Source organism: Homo sapiens, chromosome 2, assembly GCF_000001405.40.
Source record: "Homo sapiens chromosome 2, GRCh38.p14 Primary Assembly".
Lineage (NCBI taxonomy): Eukaryota > Metazoa > Chordata > Mammalia > Primates > Hominidae > Homo > Homo sapiens.
Window position 1 is genome coordinate 19,363,026 of NC_000002.12, and position 18,802 is coordinate 19,381,827.

Sequence of the window (18,802 nt, forward strand, 5' to 3'; positions counted from 1 at the left end):
GTGGCGCTGGAGGAAGGAGAGTTCGCGGTAATTAAACATTTCCAGACACCGGAGGGTTATTATCTGCAGAGCGATTTCCGGCGATGGGACTCGGAGAGAGTCCGGCTGCGAGGTTTCGAGATTCTGGGACGCAATCCTAAAGAAAACGTGCCCCCTGCTGGCGAGCAAGCCACATCTCGGGACCCCTTCTTGGAAAACTCGCAAACCCACAGTATCCTTATTTCACTTTGCCCAAGAGTATTTTAGTCCTTCAGTTTTTCTTTTCTCAGTTAGAAGTTTGCTGCTACTCATTTAAAAGTACGCACACGCTTACCCTTCCAAAGAGCAAACGGAGGAGGAATTTCTTCTCGCCACGGGGTTTCTGTTTCCCTGCCCCAAACCAGACGTCCTTGCTCTCAGATGGATGAGGGCTTTTGTTTGTTTGTTTGTTTGTTTTTAAATAATCCGAAATTCCTAGCAACTATCTGCCGCCGTTCGCTTCTGGTCCTGGGAAGACGATGAGCAAAGATCTACTGGGACCCCATCCTGCATTTGCAAGCTCGGTCCGCGTGCCCCTCCCGGCACACCCGGAGGTGAGAAGTGCCCTCCGGTGCCTCCGTCCGCAGCCCCTCGTAGGTCTGCACGTCCTGCTTCGGATCCCAAATCCTGGCTTTCTGAAGAAGCGCGGGAAGAAGAGAGAGAGTCTGTTTCCGTGAATCGATTTCCCTGAAACACGTGAGGTTTCCTATCCTCTCCTTCCTCCCAGACCATTAGATTCCAGTTCCTCTGCTGCTTCCTTTTTTTTTTTTTCGGATTTCCGTACAGAATATTCTAGCAGGACCCTCCCTTGTCATCATAGCTCTAGGTATTCAGATAGAGACCTGAAGAGAGAAATCCTAAGAATATACCTATTAACAAGCTCTTTGGTTAATTCTCTGTCTACAGAGGACTATGCCACATTGCATAGAATGAGTTCCTAAAGTGTCAGGTCCACTCATTGGAGCAAAATACCCAGAGAAAACAAGCAAGAAAAGGGCAGAGAGAAAGACAGATTCCCTACCTGCTCCAAGCTCTTAGAGGAAGGCTGTGTCCTCCTGCTGCCCATCACTCACTTTGCTCCTCTGAGGCAGGGCCTCCCACTTCCCTATCCTGAGCTTGCAGTGAGGGGTGGAAAGGGAGTGGACCCAACTTGGACATTCCAAAGAATTACTACATTCACCAACCCTCCCTAAGTGATGCAAAGCCGCGCTGTGCCTCACCTAATGGATGAGTAGAATTACCTACTGAATAGAAGGAGGCCAGGTGCTTCTGCCTCTTTAGTGTTTATACCAGGGGTGCTTCCTGGCTTCAGACTGTCACCCTGAAGAGGTGCTGAGCCCCCAAGGCGGTGGCCCAACTAGAAGGGATGCTATTGCTCCTGGGAACTTGAAAGGCATCCTACTGGATGTGGCTTTAATACCTGGTGTTCCTCTACCAAGTGCAACTTAAACTTAAGCATCAGTTTTGGGGAGATGAGAGGGATGGAAGGATGACAGATTGGAATTGAGAATGTTCCACAAAGGGAATACAGTGAACTGGGAGGGGACCACCCCATCAGCAAAAATAAATAAATACAAATAAATCTTTCCTTCTCTGATTTCTAGGAAGTTAGACTCAGGAGGAGGAGTCATAGAGTCATATTTGTGCATCTGAGTTACATCACAATGTAGTGGGGATTCTGCACACAGCGGAAAACCACAATCCCTTATTTTAGCCACCCTCAAAAGACAGATATTCTTCCTCCATGGTCTAGGCTGGAAGTGGGGGGACACTTGAAATGCCAGTTCCCACCATAACTCTCTTCCTAGGTGACTCCAGGCAAATGAATTTGCTGGTCATATCTCCAATTCCCTACATGAGAACCTTTCCATGGAAAAGAAAAGCATTTGCTGAAACACTTGAAGTAGATACAAAACAAAAAAGAAAATATATATTAGCATATGATTTTCACTTCAAAATGACCAATGGTCGGGTTTAGTATATTTAAGTATTGGTTTTCATATCACATGTCAACAATAAAGAAATGGAGAGAAAACTTAAAACTAAAGTATTATAATCTATCTATTCCAGATAGAGAGTTTCTGGAATCATGACTTCATTTGCCAAAACTTCATTCTGTAACAAACATTTCAGGAGATTATCTAAGGAGGAATAAGCCATGTATCGTAGTCAGGATAGTTCATTCTTAATTTTCAGAGAAGACAGCTGATGGGAGCTGTGCCAGGCTACCAGATCCATACAGATAGGAAAGGAGATTAGTTCTCAGTGCCCAGGGTCCTGCACAGGCAGCAAAGTGACTAGGAGCAGGAGTGCCACTGCAGGATGCCTGGATAGGGCATTTCAGTCTTAGCCAACCTGGTACAAGGGCCACCCACTGAGGAAAGGGAGGGCCGGGCACATACCCCAGTTCAGCTCAAGGGCGGGTCAGTCAGCTAGATCCTGCCTGTGTGGTATTGGAGAGTTAAGTTGTCAGTGGTTTAGGAAGGGGCTTGTCAAAAGTCCTGTGCCACGAGATCACCCGGAGAGTTTGTCAATATGCAGATTCCCGGGCCCCATCCCCAGCACTCTGATTTAGGAGGCCCACAGTGGGCTGGGGAGTTGGCATTTTTAAAAAGCTCCACTGATGACTCTGGCACTAGTGGTCTTTAGAGCACATACATATTGAGAACCATTAGTAAAGAACGATTCTACCCAGTAGGGTCTGGGTCTTGCTAAGGAGAATCCTGAGGATTGAAGTTATTCAGATGTAAAGAAATGGCTCTTTATTAAAGCATTATATACACTTCAGTATGTTTCTTCTTGTAAACCCCTTTTTCTTTATCTATAAGAGATAAGAACCAGACCTGATATTCCTGAAAGGCTTTCTTAGCTCCTAATCTTGAAGACAGCACTGGCTACTAGGGGGCTGAAGGGTGATGTGGGGGCAAGGTGCTTGGGTTTTCTTCCAGTCACATCGTGGAGAGGCTCCCATGCTACCCTCATGTGGATTTATCCTAGTGAGTGGACACCCTAGGTCTTGGAAAAATATCCATGTCAGTTCAAAGAGAAGTCATTTTTGCAGAAGAGCTCCCTTGAAAACACAGAGGAAGAGAAGAGAACCCAGAAGCAAAGCTGCCCTCCAAAAACAGGTCAAACAGAAGCCAAAGGGGGTCTGTAGTTTCAGGCCAGTGGAAGTTACCTTTAGTGCTGGAGAGTTGATTGCATATGTGGAAAGAGGAGGGAAAAGAGGCCTCTAAAGTCACTAGTGGGCTTTTTTTTTTTAAACCCATAGTTTGTTCCATGAGTATCATCAGAAGCTTCAAAGAGAAGGAAGGTGACACCAGCTCAATGAGGAGTCTTTGATTGCTCTTCACCCTGCACATTCCGTATTTTCTCATAGGATTTCCAGTTATTCTCACACAGAAGCAGTCTAGACAGCTGAAGGGACACACTAGGATAGCTGATTATTCTTGTGTCACTTGGGGTCAGGACATTAGGCAGTAGGCAACATGTTTGTTGTTGCTGTTGTTTTTAATGCTTTTATTTTAACAGTACTTCTCAACTTTGTTTTGGTAAAAACTCACTTTACATGTCTATTGGTTTTAACAGTAGCATAAAGTGTTGTATATGAGTTCTGTCAATTTTTGTCACCTATCATATGTGTAGATGAGATCATGTTCGCATGTCTTCTAAAGTGTTTATAAAGATTTCCTTAGGATCAGTGTATATAGGGCTCTGGTTTAAAAGAAATTTCCCATGAACTATGATTTCTGTCACAGAGGAGTCAGGGCTCCTGAGCAAATGTGGCTCTGTTGTGGTTCACCTCCCACAGGAGATGCCATTCTGTTACCCCTGTTTTAAGGAAGCACTGAGGCCCAGGAGTCTTTCTGAGGCTGTGCCTAGGCTCATGAGTGTGGTCCTGGAAGTGGAAGGAAGCCTCAGAGGTCAGTAGTGGGACACAGTTCTTCCAAGGACCCACTCCTCTCCAGAGCCTGGCAGGCCCTGAGACCCAGCATGAGCTTCACGAATCCTCTTAGCAAACTGAAGCATCAAGATAATGATTATTCTTGCTTTATGTCTGAGGAGATTGTGGCTTGGAAATATTACATACTTGTCCCAAAGTCACATAACTAGGTAGTCTGGGGCCAGGGCTTAAACCTAGGTATTTGATTCCAAAACCCAAGCTCATAATGGCAGCACCCTGGTTACTTAGTGTGGTCTTCCAGTGACATCAGCATCACCTGGGAGCCTGCTGGAAATGCAGAAGCCCAGGCCATGTCCCAGTCCTATTCCCTCCTGCTCCCTTAGGTAGGCACATGAATGTTTGCAGTGTACACCATTCGGATCTCCAGGCCCAGGCATTAGCTCTGTTCAGTGTCTTTGCTTTAATCTCAGCTTCTAGAACTGAGAGATAAAGCTACAAAATCATACCAAAAGCCTGTAGACTAAAGTTTAGAAAGATTGCAACACCAAACCGCGGGTGCCCTACAGAACCACAAGCCCTAAATCTGCTGCCTCCTCGGCTTTGGCCTGACAGTAAGCAGTCTGGGCTGGCCAGCAACCTCACGCTGGCCCTTCCACATGGTCACTCCCCTCTCCTGGCACCAGAGCAGGAGCCTGGCACCTCCTAGAAGAAGAGAAAATAACAAAGGGCTTATAGGATCTTCTTTGGTGAGCCATGCATTTACCCAGTAACATACATATTATTGATGATAATTGCACATTAGGAATGCATTGTTCACATGTAATTTTGGCAGAGATAACATGTTTTAATTCAAAAGACATTGAACTATGCAAAGGATTGATCACTCGCAAATCAAAAAGTTATTAAATATACACTCTTATTTGATTACCCAAATCTCTGCCAGCCTCACTGTGGTCATTATAGCATCGCCAGTTGACATTCTACCAACCAAACAGAAGCTAGTTACTGAAAGTGTGCTTCATCTTCTCTTCAGCCTCTGCTCTTTAAAATCAAATGCAGAAGATGCCTAAGTTAAGGCAACATGCTGAGCACATAGCTGTGAAGAGTATTACAGGGCAGCATGAAATCAGGACAGGGTCTTGGCAGTATCATCTGCCCCTTTTGGTGTTGTCTTCCTCTCCAAGAGCCCAAAACTTCCAGCCTGCCCCTGTCTGACACTCTCTTTTACCCTGAGTCAGGGGTGGCAAGTATCACCACATCAAGGGGGATGTGCATTGTAATAGCAGGATCTGGAAAGAATCATGTTTAACCTACAGGCTTGGCATAGGAATGGTGCAATTGCCTCTGTTTTAAAAAGCACAGAATATAAAATGTGGAGGAACCTTAAACATATCATCTTTGACACTCCCATTTTACAGATGAGAAATTTGACCCCGGCAATGTGATTTACCCAGTAACAGCATTGCAACTCAAAGCTGGCTTTCCTGTCATCTGGTGGGTACTCCTTACATTTTGCTCCCTGCTCCTCAATTTTGTGATTTAGATCTTGAAGGAAGAGGTCTTACCAAGGGCCTCCCTTTGTTGCTTGTCTTCAGAGGGAGGACAAAGCTTGCATCAGGCAGTGATGTTCCAGGTACAAAGCCTTTCATAGACCTGCAGGCACACAGCAATAGACAGATACACCCATGCCTGGGCCTGGGGTTTGGATGATTGCTCTTCAGTGTAGCAGCTTTATGAAAACATTAAATGTCATTACTTATTTCTTCATGTCCAAAATGTATACTTCAACATTTTTTCTCTGTAGACAAGTGTCACTTTTACTGCAATCTTCAAGCCAGATGTTCCTGGTATAAGTGGTAACAGCTGCCACACTGGCAGGAGTGTGGCTCCAGCCAAGTCACTTTCCAAAAGGACCCAAAAGCCCTCTCTGTGAGAACACTGACATGACAGAAGAAACCCATACCTGGCCCGCCTCGAGCTGCTCAGGAAACCACTGTGAAGGCTGGAACAGGGGTATTTGGGGAGGGCAGTTTGCCAAACCGCTGGCTGCATTTCCCTCTTCCTCAGTGATGAGCTGGGGTCCTGGGTAGGGAGTGCCGAATCTGCCTCCTTTTCTTCAAGCTTCTTTCAAAGCAGTGTTTGTAGTGCCAGCACCCATTATCCACATCCTCATTGGTCTCAGGACCTAGCCATTGCCCTTGCTTTCTGTCATACTTGCCACAGTCTCTATGATCTTCAGTTGACATTCTATTGTTTTTGAATTTTGCTCAAGTTGCAGCCGCCTGGTAGCATTTATCTTCTCAGTTCCCTTGGGCCTTGGTGAATTCCTCAATAAGGTCCCATCTCAGCATCAGCATTTCCAGAAAACACAGGCACAATTTGCCTTCGTCTTCAGCTAAGGCTGAAGAACTTGATTCAGCCAAAAAATAACTGTTGTCTTTGCAATTTTGGCCCTCTGGCTGAAAGGTCTATTATCCAAGAATGCCATCCTACTGAGTAAGGTTGAATTTATAAGACACATGAATACATGAACAGACACACAAACACACTCTCTCCAAAACATAGCTATGGGTGGCTGCAGCGTGATGCTTTCTCCAAGAGATGGCGAGCTCATTCAAACAAAGTCTTGGCTTCTTCCCATGGGTGTGAGGCCAGCATTTAGTGGGAATAAATCACTTTAGGTTTTGAGTCTGGCTAGGTGTGAACTCAAAGGATGGAAAACCTTTTGGGGATGAGCTTTCCAGAAACCAGTGGCCAGCAGAGGTCACTTGGCCCAGGGCCTCCAGGAGTGGTCCAGCCATTGCCCCTCCATCCAGGATCATGGGCCTCAGCCCTGTAAAGAAGCAGCTTCCTCCCTAGAAAGACCAAGAGGTGGTGGAAAGAGACAGGCTTCTAGTCCATGTCTCTAGAACATGCCTCTCCCCAGCTACTTGTTTTTGGGCAAACAGCTTAACCACCTGAAACTTCAGTTTCCTCATCTGTAAAAACAGGATGAACACAAGTTCTATGGGATTATTGTGATTAATGAACTAACGTTTGTAAAGTTCGTGGCACAAAGGGAATAACTGATAAATCCTATTTTCTTCTGCAGACTAGACTGTGATTTTTATCACTTATTGAGCTGAAGGATCTTTTAGGAGAATTTCCTCCTCAAAATCAGAACCGTTCTCAAGCCTGGTGCTGCAAGTACAATAAGAACAACTGTGCCCATTATTACGCCAGTGTTGCTCAGTTCCAAGTCCACATTTCTACGCTCTGCTGTGTGACACCAGGGCTGGGATCTGCAGGCTAAAGTTTTCCTCTGTCAGATGACTTTCTCTTAGATTTTGCAAATAGGGGCATGGGAGCAGCAACCAGGGGTTGGCCTCTAGCGATGGACTTTCACTTAGCATCGCCAGTTGGTTCCAATCTTCAACTTCTTTCAGCACTCCCAGAACCAATCTCATCATGCCCTAGGAAGGTGCCCTCCCCAGTGGGGCAATAACTGTCCTCAGAGAGCTGAACCTCTACTCCATGGACTTCCTATAGACTTCCTGAGCCACCCAGAAGCAGCAAGGATGTGCTGCCTCCTCAGAGGGCTGAGCCCAGTCCTACAGGGTTCGTCCTCTGAGCTTCTAGATGCTGACACCCACAATCTTTGCCTTTGTTTCCCCACCCTTTCCCTAGTGCTCCCAGTTTGCTTTCTTGGACCAGTTTAACCCATCTTCTATATTAAATTCTCTCTGTTGAAATGCCTAGTGTGGTTTCTGTTGTCCTGACTGGACCCCAACTGATACACAGATCAAGAGTGCCAGTTTTCCTAGACGATCCTCATTCACACTGGCTTTCCTAGGATCTTGTCTTGTTTTTGTCCCAGACGCAATTGTCCTGGTTTCTGTGATAAATTGTAAAGTCGTTTAGTTATAGTTGTTCCCTTTAACAGGCCATGGTTGAAGAACTTTAAGCACCTGACATATTAGACTCCTTACTGCAGATTTCTATAAATTCTCTTTGATTTAGAACCATACTTGTATTCTCTACCTAGGAACAGAGTGTTCCTATTGATTGTTTAAAAAGAGGAAACTTCTTGAACACAGCTGAGTACTGAAGCTACAAAAGCATTGCCCATCCTGTCTTTCTTGTAAATCTACACATTATCCATGAGTTGTTCTCTTTATAGTTGCTTCCCAACCTGACCTTCTAGGGAAGAAATTTCTCCCACTTAGAATGTTTTATATACAGAGACCTTAGTTTTCATTCTGCAAGTTTTTTGTTACACTAAGGTCTTTCTTCCTATGCGATCCTAAAGTGACTAAACCTAAAGGTACTTCGGGATGTTCTCTTTGCCTGGGATGACATGCTCCTTCTCTTCTACCTATTTATACCTTATCCTCCCATCTGCTGAAATACCATTGCCTCCTGGAACTCTCTCCCCAGCTAGTGTCTTCTCCCTCTTATAAGCCTATTTCATGTAATTCTCCAACTCACTTTGGCACTTTACCACTTTCTTATTGGGCTTGGTATCTTTTACAAGGGGGTCTTGTATTTATTATAACTGTAAATGCATCTTTAACTTGTTAATTTGACCAACTGCTCAGTTCCTTTGTAGAACTGTTTGTGCTTTTTCTTTGAATCCCTTGCAGCACTCATCAATCTTTCTTTTTACTCCAATAATTCCAAGCCTCTTTTTTTTAGTCCATTTATGTCCATCCGCCTCCTGTTCCCTTACGTATCCCCCAAGTTCACGAACATACCAGGATCATTTCCACTTCTGTACTTTGGTTCACATTATTTCCTCAGTTCAGAGCATTCCTACCCCTTCACACTACTCATCCTTCCTGAATCATCCTTCAGAAGCTTCCTCTGACACTCCAGGCTGAGCTAAGTCTCCCTTCTCTGTGCCACCATCGTACCTTGTCAGAATCCCTATTATTACATTGCTGCATTACACTAAAACCATCTTTTACATGCCTGGCTCTCCTAGTGGACTTCACAGCACCAAGGATAAATGATGTGTCCTGTGCACCTCAGTTCTCACAGCATGTAATACAATACCTGTCACATCGGAGGAACTTGATAAATGTTTATTGACCTAAACTTAATACATTTTTGCTGAATGATTGAGTGACATTGAGACAGCAATTCTGCGAGCTGCCATTTTTCTACCCTGGACACATATTTATCTCCTCTCTTTCCCTGCCAAAACCCCAAAGATTGCTTCACTACACTGTATAATCTTTCTGTCAGGTCTCTGACACACAAAACACATGTAATCATTCCATTATGAGGCCTGGCACTAAGTTTAAGCTGAGTGTGCAGATTTATTGGATCTTGTACCAGGAAACGAGTGAGGCAGGGGTTTAGAGGGATTTCCCAAGGGGATGTAAAATGTTCATGAGGCCTTGTACTTAGAGGCAATTCTATGCTCCTGTGGGAGCCTCAACTGTCCTTGCAGATTGCATTTCTCCATCTACTTTTGAGATATTCAGGCAGCCTACTGCTGTGGGCTGACAGGTAACAAGCAACCTGTACACTGAACACTCACAGCAGCCCCACTTAATGACGAGAACGCATGCCACTACTGACTTACTGTTTTAGTGCAAAGATGAGCTGCATACAATTTGAACACCTGTTCATTTGAAAATGCATTTGGCACACTGGCTAGTTTGCTTTCCTCATATGCTTGTGAGTTCCTCTTCTTGGAAAAGATAGATATTAGAGGCAGATGACAAGTGTCCAGTGGGTATTCTAACATTCCCCAACTGTTTACCTGTGCCTTTTGCCCCAGGAATGTGTGTTTTCCAAATCTTCTTCAAACTTTAAGGCCCAACTTAAATCCCACCTCCTCTAAAAACCTTCATCAACCATTCAACCACTCTGGCTTTTAGGACCCTTTCTTGAAGCTCTGAAGATGAACGGCTTCCACTGTAATGCTTCATGGAATTGTCTTAAAAGGACAAGTTACTGCAAAGAGTCCTGGGCTGAGATTTACAAAGTTCCCATACTGGGTCCAGGTTCCTTTGTTATGTGGGCTAAATTACTCCAAGTTGTTACATTTTTTTCCTCCAACCACCTTCTTCTTCCCCTTCTGCTCCTCCTTCTCCTCTTTTCTTTCTCCTCATGAATTTTGGAGGGGACACAAATATTCGAACCATAGCATTGCACCCCCAGCCCCCCCAAAATTCATGTACTTCTCACACACAAAATACACTGATTCCATTCCAATAGCCTCAAAAGTCTTAACTCATTCCAGCTCAAAGTCTAAGTTCAAATTCTCATCTAAGTATAATCTAAATCAGATATGGGTGAGATTCAAGGTGTGATTTATCCTGAGGCAAATTTGCCCTCCAGCTGTGAGCCTAGGAAATCAAATAAGTTATGTGCTTCCAAAATACAATTGTGGGACAGGGATAGGGCAGACATTTCCATTCCAAAGGGAGAAACAGGACATAAGAAAGGGGTACCACGTCTCTACCAAATCTAAAACTCAGCAAGGCAAACATTAAATCTTAAGGCTCCAGAATAATCTTCTTTGATTCCATGTTCTACCTTCCAGACACACTAGGGCAGGGGCTGGGTGTCAGAGGTTCCCAGCAGCCCCGCCCCCATGGCCTTATTGGGTGGAGCCCATGCAGCAGCTCACAGGGGTTGGAGTGAGGTGCCTGCAGCTATCCAAGGCTGGCATTGCACACTGGTGGCTCTATAGTTCTGGGGCCATGGAAATGGCCCTGCTCCCATGGCTTCACTAAGCATTGACTTAGTGGAGACTTTCTGTGGTGGCCCCAGCCCCATGACTCTGCTAGGCATTACCCTAGTGATCATTCTCTGTGGTGGCCCTGACTCTGTGGTAGTTCTATGCCTGGGTCCCAAGGCTCTCTGAGGCATCTTTTGCAATTTAGGTAGAGGCAGCCATGCCTCCTTAGCTTGTGTATTCTGCATGCCTGCAGAGTTAGCGTCAGGTGGACACTGCCAAGGATTACCACTTGTGCCTTCTAGAGCAGCAGACGAAGCTGTACCTGGGCTTATTTGAGCCACAGCTGGCATGGTCAAGGAGCACTGTGCTGGAATGCAGGGAGCAGAAACTTGGGGCAGCAAGCCCCAAGGTCCTACAGGAGCACTGAATCCTTTCTCTGAAACCATTCTGCTCTAAAGACCCTAGCACTCTGCGCCTGTGATGGGAGTGGCAGCCTGGAAGATCTCCAATACCTCTTCAAGGTCATTCTTCCATTGTCCTGATTAATAGCACCTGTCTTCTATCTATCTGTACAAATGTCCTCATTAAACAGTTGCTTGGCCACACCCTTGATATTTTCTCCCAGACATGCTTTTATATTCTTTACAATAATATCCAGGCTGAGAATTTTCCAAATGTTTAAGCTCTGTCTTCCTTTTGATTATAAATCCTGTCTTTAATTCATTTCTCTCTTCTTGAATTTTACTCTAAGTGGTCAAGAGAAGAAGTGCAGCACCTTGAACACTTCACTTAGAGATTTCTTTTTGCCAATTATCCTAGTTCATTGCTCTTAAGCTTTGCTTCCACAAAACATTAAGACATGGACACAATTAAGCCAAGTTCCTTGCCATTTTGTAACAAGTGTGACCTTTCTAATAAGATGTTTCCAATAAGATGTCCCCCATTTCCATCTAAAATCTCATCAGAGTAGGCTTTACTGTCTGTATTTCTACCAACGTTCTGATCACGACCACTTAAGTAATCTCTAAGACTGAGGCTCTGTCTATAGCTCTCCTGATCTCCTGAGTCCTCACCAGATTCACCCATTATGGGCCATTTATGGCAACCTAGGATTTTTCTAGCATGCACCATCAAACTCCCCCAGCCTTTACCTATTATGCAGTTCCAAAGCTGCTTTTCCATTTTTAGGTATGTGCTAAAGCAACAACCTGACTTCCCAGCACCTATTTCTGTCTTTGTTTGTGCTGCTATGACAATATACCACAAACTGAGTAATTTATAAACAACATTTATTTCTCACAGTCCTAGAGGCTGGGGAGTCCAAGATCAAGGTATCAGAAAAATCAGTGTCAAGTAAAGGCCATTCTCTGCTCACAAGATGGTGCCATGTTGCTGTATTCTCCAGAGGGGCTAAACACTGTGTCCTCATAAAGCAAAAGGGATGGAAAGCAGAAAAAGGGCCTAACTTTTTTCCTCCAGCCCTTTTATAAGGTTACTAATCCCCCCATGATGGCAGAGCCCTCATGGACTTATTACCTTCTAAAGGTCTGACCTCTTAACACTATTGCATTGAGGATTAAGTTTCAACATAAATTTTGGAGGGGACACAAATTCAAACCGTAGCACTGCCCTTCAGTGAAGTTTTAGGCAATGTGCCTCAAGTGAAGTAGAAAATGTAAATGGAGGCCCAGGCTAGAATCAAGACAGTATGGGACCTCAAAGGGGAGTGAGAAGTAAAAGAAATGCTTGTTAGAATCAGGCAGAGGACCCCTCTGAATGGCTCCGAACCACTTCCAGATGGCAGAGAAAAGGGTACTGAGTGGCACTTGGTGGGGCTGCAGACTATGCTTAACACCAACCTGTGGGTTCATAGTAGGGGAATGGTTACATTCTCTAAGCAATTAAAGCTGGAGACCCAGGACAGCAATAGTTCAGAAAAGAGTGATGGGAACCAGTGTTGGCTGGAAAAGCTCAGCCAACATTGGGACTGGTTGGCTATTTGCAAAGCTAGACACTCTTGCATTTCTCTCATTTTTTGTTTTTTTTTTTTGGGGATGGGGGAATAGCTTAAAAGTACTTTAAATATTGATAAGCTAAAGGGAAAGACCTGTGTGTTAGTCAGAGTTCTCCTGAGAAACAGAACAAACATCTCCTTATACTAAGGAACTGGCTCATGCAATTATGGAGCTGGACAAGTCCCAAGATCTGCAGTCAGCAAGCTGGAGACCCAGTAGAGCTGATGGTGCAGATTTAGTCCAAGTCCAAAAGTCCGAAAACCAGGAGAGTTAATGGTGTGGTTCCAGTCCAAAGTCAGTAGGCTTAAGACCAAAAAAGTAGAATTTTTAGTTTGAGACTGAAGGCAGAAGAAACTCAATGTTTCAGCTCAAGCAAGAGGAGTTTTCTCTTACTTAGCCTTTTTGTTCCATTCAGATTTTCAATTGATTGGATGAGGTCCACCTATATTAGGGAAGACAATCTACTTTATTTAATTTATATATTTAAATGTTAATTCCATTCAGATATACCCAGCATAATGTTTGATCAAATATCTGGGCACCCTTTGGCCCAGTCAAGTAGACATATAAAATTAATCATCACAATCCTGTACCCTCTTTGTCTTATCTCCTGGAAAGTGTTAATGATGGAAGAAAATAAGGAAAATCTCAAAACTGGTCTTTGAGGGCTTAGGGAAACAGAGGTTCTCCCACCTCACCTTTTCCAAAGAATACCAAACAGTGTAGGTATATTGGAGATTGGGTGGGAGCAAGCGTTATATCTGGGGACATTTTGTATCCCAAATACAAGTAATTCTTCTAGTTCTTACTGTTTCTTGATTGTTACTTATATTCCCAGTAAGAATTAAAGTTCCCTAAGGACAGGAAAGGAAATCCTTTCTCTCCTCACTCCCCCGACCATACCATTCACCCAAAGCTGAGCTTACTAAATGCTAAATAGTTCACAGACAAAGACCCTAGGTATCAGGCAGCGTTGCTACTTGAAACACTCATTGTGCTCATTAAGGGAGAATCATCTCCTTACTAGAACTCTATCCATAGAAGGTGTGTAAAATGCTTAAAGATTCTAAAACAGCTAATTTCTACTATAAGAAATGAAATTAAACAAATTCATAAGTGCATCACTTAAAGAAATTATTCTTTAAGTTAATGTGGTGTCTTTATCACAGGGATTCATACAGGAAACCATTTCCTACGTCTGAACCTTCACACCAAGAACAGAAATGAAAACAAACTCATGATAAATTCAAGGACATAATTCAATTTACGTGATAGGTAACAACTATTTTAACAAAGAAAAAAGAGTTTAACTGAAATAAATTATAACAATTATATAAGTTTAAACAAAACTTAACTTTAATAACTTTACTCTTTTCCTGCCAAAACAAGACCTTAGCTGTGTAGATGAATAAAATATATGCCATTAAAATATTATGATCATTTGTACATTTAAATTTTTCATCTTATTTTTACTGTAGCTGTATTTTATTTAAAATGCCCATTTATAATAAGAAAATTATTTTATTTCTTCTAGATATATATATAAGTTCAAAAAATATTGAAGACGCTCTACAGGTAACTTTGCTCTATATTTAGCAGAAAAAAGAATTTTGGAAAACGAAGTTGAGGACCACAATATGGAAAAAGTTACCACTTCAAATCCTTATGTTTGTGCTTAAAAAAGAAAATCAAAGACTTTGAATTCTGAGTGAAGCATGAGTCTCAGGGTAGCTAAATGCCTCAAAGATCACATCTGGGCACTTAAATTTTAAGAGCACAAAAGGAAGTTATGTGGAAATTCTTCTGAATGGAATACTAGCTACTTGGTTTCCAAGAGTGATCTTTGTCTAGCGCAGGTGGACACTTACTAAGAACTTGGAACGATGGAGTGTTAACACTGGTGTTTTGACCCCCTTCTGAACGTTAGCTCGTGTGTCTACATTATACCACTGGGGCCAAGGGAATGAGATACATAGGGAAGAATGGGACTTTGGGCCTTGGTGAAAACCTCTGAATTAGGATGTTCTCGAACGGTCAAGGTCAGGAAGTGCCCTTCTCTTCTGACTTGGGCTGTTCCTTGACTGTTCAGCTCTGACTGCTTTCCCACATTCATGGCCTCACTGTCTGGGGGCCGCCCTCTTTTCTCCCAGAGCCTGACCTTCATGAACCCATCCTGACGCTGACCCACATCCACTCATCTTGTGGGTCAGTCTGCTGGTATAGACTTTGATGAACCCAGCACTAGCTCCTTGCTGGAGGGTCCTAGCCCTTTCTGACAGTGCAGTGCCTCCTTGTGGTTGGGAACCCGGAGTGTTATTTTGTCAAGAAAAAGTGGAATCAGAGACTTTCCTTTGTTTCCCTATGTTTCCTACATAATGACATGGATATTACCCCACAGCAGCCTGAGATTGCCCAAGTAGGAGCATTCAGGCACTTCCAGACCACTTCCTGATGTGGCCACATCTGGGGCACAGTAAAACAAACCAAGTAAGGGAAAGAGCCATTCTAAAATTCTCCGTACAGGTGATTCTCTTTCTAACTGCTCATCTGGAGAGCTTGGCTAAATGAAAGATCATGGAACATCAGCTTTGACAGGACCCTTGAGATTTTATTGACCTCCTAATTTTATGGTTTAGAATATTAAGATCAAGAGAGAGAAATTTTCTAAAGCTCGGATGTCAGAGAGTGGTTGAGCTGGAATACTGGTCTGCATGACTTTCTGCCCAGTGCTCTCTCTGCTCTATAGGTGGCATATTGAAAGAGTTGTTGCCTTAAGAACACCATCAAGGCAATTTTGAACACTTGCATTTCTAATGAGCAAGGTACTAACTAAAATGTCACTTTGTCCAAGTACTTGTGTACTATTTTGTTGCCTCTCTCCAGGTAATGTGCTTAGATAGATGTTCTTCTTCCAGCAGATGGTGAGATGGGGGACTGATGTCCAGGCTAGGGATGGTGCACCTGGCTCTGTTGCTTTTGTAAAACCACAGAAGACAGAAACCTCTAGATTACTTTTAACTTCCTCCCCTTTTAAATAACTATATTTGTATTTCTAATACATGAAATAGTTAACTATGTAGAGGGAGAGTTAGAGACAGTACCTAATCCCAGCTTGATGCAATTACTTTAACATGAATTTAAAATAAAATTAAAGTTAACAGTTTAAACTGATGTTTGAGGGTTTTAAAAAGATTTAGTTTCCTTTGGAAGCACTGTGTTATTTGATCCAGTACAATCTTTTTGAGCGCCATGCATAACATCTTTACCCAAGTACCATTACTACTAGATTATGCCCATAGGTTGAGTTACAAATGTCTAAAAATCTTAAAATTATTAAGCTCAGATTAGAGTGTTCAAAGACTATGGTGTTATTTTAGTCTCCTGCCATATCCTCCATTTACTATAAACTTGATATATTGGCATTCAAATAAAATGTCATAAAGCAAGTATGTACGGAGGTGTTTGGGGTTTGTTTCAGGCTTCTGTGAGCCAAGTTTGCATGGCAACCAAGATGTATAACAGAAACACGCAAATGGTCTTCATAAAAAGAAACACTGAGCAGAGCTCAGGAGCAGGGCAACTTCTAAGTCAGGGTAGACTATAAGAGCTGATCAGATCAATGACTGAGGGCCTGGATGGGGACAGCAAGTCACCCAACATTGTTTCAATGATTCTTCAAGTCCCCTTTTGCTGCAGTCACCAAGTGCTAATGCATCTGAGGCCAAGTCTCTAGAGATGCAGCTTCATGGAATTTGCAGATGGTACAGTTGGAAGGATCCTTCAATGCCATCTTAACCAAACCCCTTGTTTTAGAGATGAGGAAATGGAGACCCAGAACTATGGTTTGTTCAGTCTCAGGGCTGCTTGTATACTCCTAGCAGAAGCACATGAGTATGCACATGTTCTCTGTTTTAGTGTATTCTCTTTTGTTTTCCCAACTGAACATAAATTGCAACTGTTCTGAGTTAGAATATAAAAAGCAAGTATGGGTACCCAAGACTTCCATTTGGACATTGCCTCCACAGTATCTCATAGGGAAATTCTTTCTAGTCTATACATCATGGGCTTCCCAGATCAATCTGCTTAGCAGACTCCTCCCTGGAAGACCCATCTCATGAGAACAAGTCAGTGGTGCTTTGTTTCCACTATGGAGATGGGATTTGTCAACTGAATTAAGCCTCCTGAAACCAAGAGGAAGAGGGAAGCTATCTTTTGAAATATTTTGGGTTCCCAAGACCCAGATGCTAGAGCAGTTACCTGGAATGAGGCTTCCCTAGAGCATGCTAAGGTGGAATCCACAAATTGGGAGCTTATTAAAAAATTCAATTTATTAGTAACCACAAAGGAGGATGCAGCTGATGTGGTCAGCACCAGAAATGCCTGTCTGTTTCCACACACTTTGCCAACCCCCATGGTTTCCCCAGCCAGCACTGCTAACAGATGCACTGATTGAAACCTATGATAAATACACGGTAATTTGTGAGTACCTCTGAAACCACAAATTGGAACATAAATAAAAGAAAGAAAATGGATGTTTGGTACTACTGGGAATAATAATGATGCATTAACTGGGAATAAATATTATGGTATTTCACTGTACAAGAATATATTATATGCATGGTAAGAGGAAGGACTTGACAAGGTTATTAATTTGTCTCTTCTTTCACTTAAGCATTTCCATTATTTAGATCCTCCCTGAAAAAACGTATAGTCTCAAATGATGAAAAAGATCTATCAATCAGATAAAGCTTGATCAGAAAAGCAGGCCACTATAACTGATACAGAATCAGGAATTAATCATAGGAATTAGACCTCATGCAACCCTGGGAGCTGTTTACACCATCTACATAAGCTTCTTGTCTCTGTGTCTAGTATTGATTGAAAGTCAGCAGGGGCAGTGGATATTCATGCAATGGCAGAAAGCAATGACAACCTGGAACTCCATCTGTCTTTTAATGCCTCCAGGCTTGGTAATGTGGGTGACCTGCAGGGTATTTTGGCACACTTTTCCATGGAGATGTCCATGCACCTGACCTAGGATTTAGAGAAGATGAAGAAGATTCACAAGGAGTTGGAGGAGCTGTGGGCCCAGCTACTGCCCCATCACAATGAGTCAGCAGATCATTAAAAGTATTTGAGAGCTGTAACAACACCTGATGCACACAGTTCTTTCAAGTGTAAAATGGCTTCACCTCTGACTTCCAAATCCTGAAGAGATGTCTACTGAGTCAACTTTAGCCCAGAACCACCTACACAAAGAAATTCTGGGAAATGTGGTTTAAGTTCAGCAAGGTTGATATGCTACAAAATCACCACAATAGTCCCAAATCTTTTACTACAGTAAGTGAGTTCCAGTTGCTTAACATCTTCACCAAAATTTGGTGGTAACGGTTTTTCATTTTAGCCATTTGATGTTGTATAATGAATGATATCTCACTGGAGATTTAATTTGCACTATTTGAAGACTAATGAGATTGAGCACTTTATTACACGTTAATTGGCCATAAGAATATCTTCTTTTGTGAAGTTCCTATTCAATTCTTTTGCCCACTTTTCTATTTGGCTTTTTCTTATTTTGTATGGGTTATTTTTATATTCTTGATATGCGTTCTCTTTCAAATATATTTTTTGTAACTATTTTCTTCCACTAAGTGGCTTGTCTTTTTGACCTATTAATGGTATATTTTCATAATCAGTTCCTAATTGCAACGTAGTCTTTTTTTTGCAGGTTCATTTCACATCCCTTTTAAGAAATCTTTTCTTACTTCAAGGTTATAAAGTTATTTTCTTACGTTGTCTTCTAGAAATATTATATATTTACCTGCTGCACTGCTTTACATTTATCTACATATGTTTTGTCTGTTTTTCTAGTTGTTTATGATGGAAAGATATTCTCAAAGCCGTTAATTCATTCCTTCTGAATGGAGGCAGAAGTTTGCTTGGTTTTTTATCTTCTTGCCCTGTGCAACATCACAATTTAACAAAGGCATTGAAAGGAAAGTTGCTGGGTGTTGTGTCATGTCTTTGAACCCCACTTCTCTTGATCTCTCACGTCCTGGCTGCCTTCTGAGTCTCAAACTCCAACTTTTGTTTCCTAGTTTTGTGAGGTTACTGAAACTCTGCTGGCTTCTCTAATTCTTAGCACTAACCTCTACCTGTCCTCATCTTGTTCTTAAAAAAATTGTAACTGAT

General features: G+C 42.7%; 3 annotated features.

Moving 5' to 3' along the window:
- Positions 279 to 1,080: an enhancer, noted in NCBI's record as "H3K4me1 hESC enhancer chr2:19563065-19563866 (GRCh37/hg19 assembly coordinates)". NCBI's record gives its function as "activates a minimal SCP1, AML or CMV promoter by ChIP-STARR-seq in naive H9 embryonic stem cells {active_cell/tissue: H9 hESC(naive)}" and the evidence as "EXISTENCE:reporter gene assay evidence [ECO:0000049][PMID:30033119]".
- Positions 6,403 to 6,697: a silencer, noted in NCBI's record as "tiled region #3817; HepG2 Repressive DNase matched - State 20:ReprD, and K562 Repressive non-DNase unmatched - State 13:Ctcf". NCBI's record gives its function as "represses a minimal TATA promoter and a strong SV40 promoter by Sharpr-MPRA in HepG2 and K562 cells {active_cell/tissue: HepG2 | K562}" and the evidence as "EXISTENCE:reporter gene assay evidence [ECO:0000049][PMID:27701403]".
- Positions 17,344 to 18,543: an enhancer, noted in NCBI's record as "MED14-independent group 3 enhancer chr2:19580130-19581329 (GRCh37/hg19 assembly coordinates)". NCBI's record gives its function as "activates an origin of replication core promoter dependent on BRD2, BRD4, P300/CBP and CDK7 cofactors, and independent of MED14, by STARR-seq in HCT116 cells {active_cell/tissue: HCT116}" and the evidence as "EXISTENCE:reporter gene assay evidence [ECO:0000049][PMID:35650434]".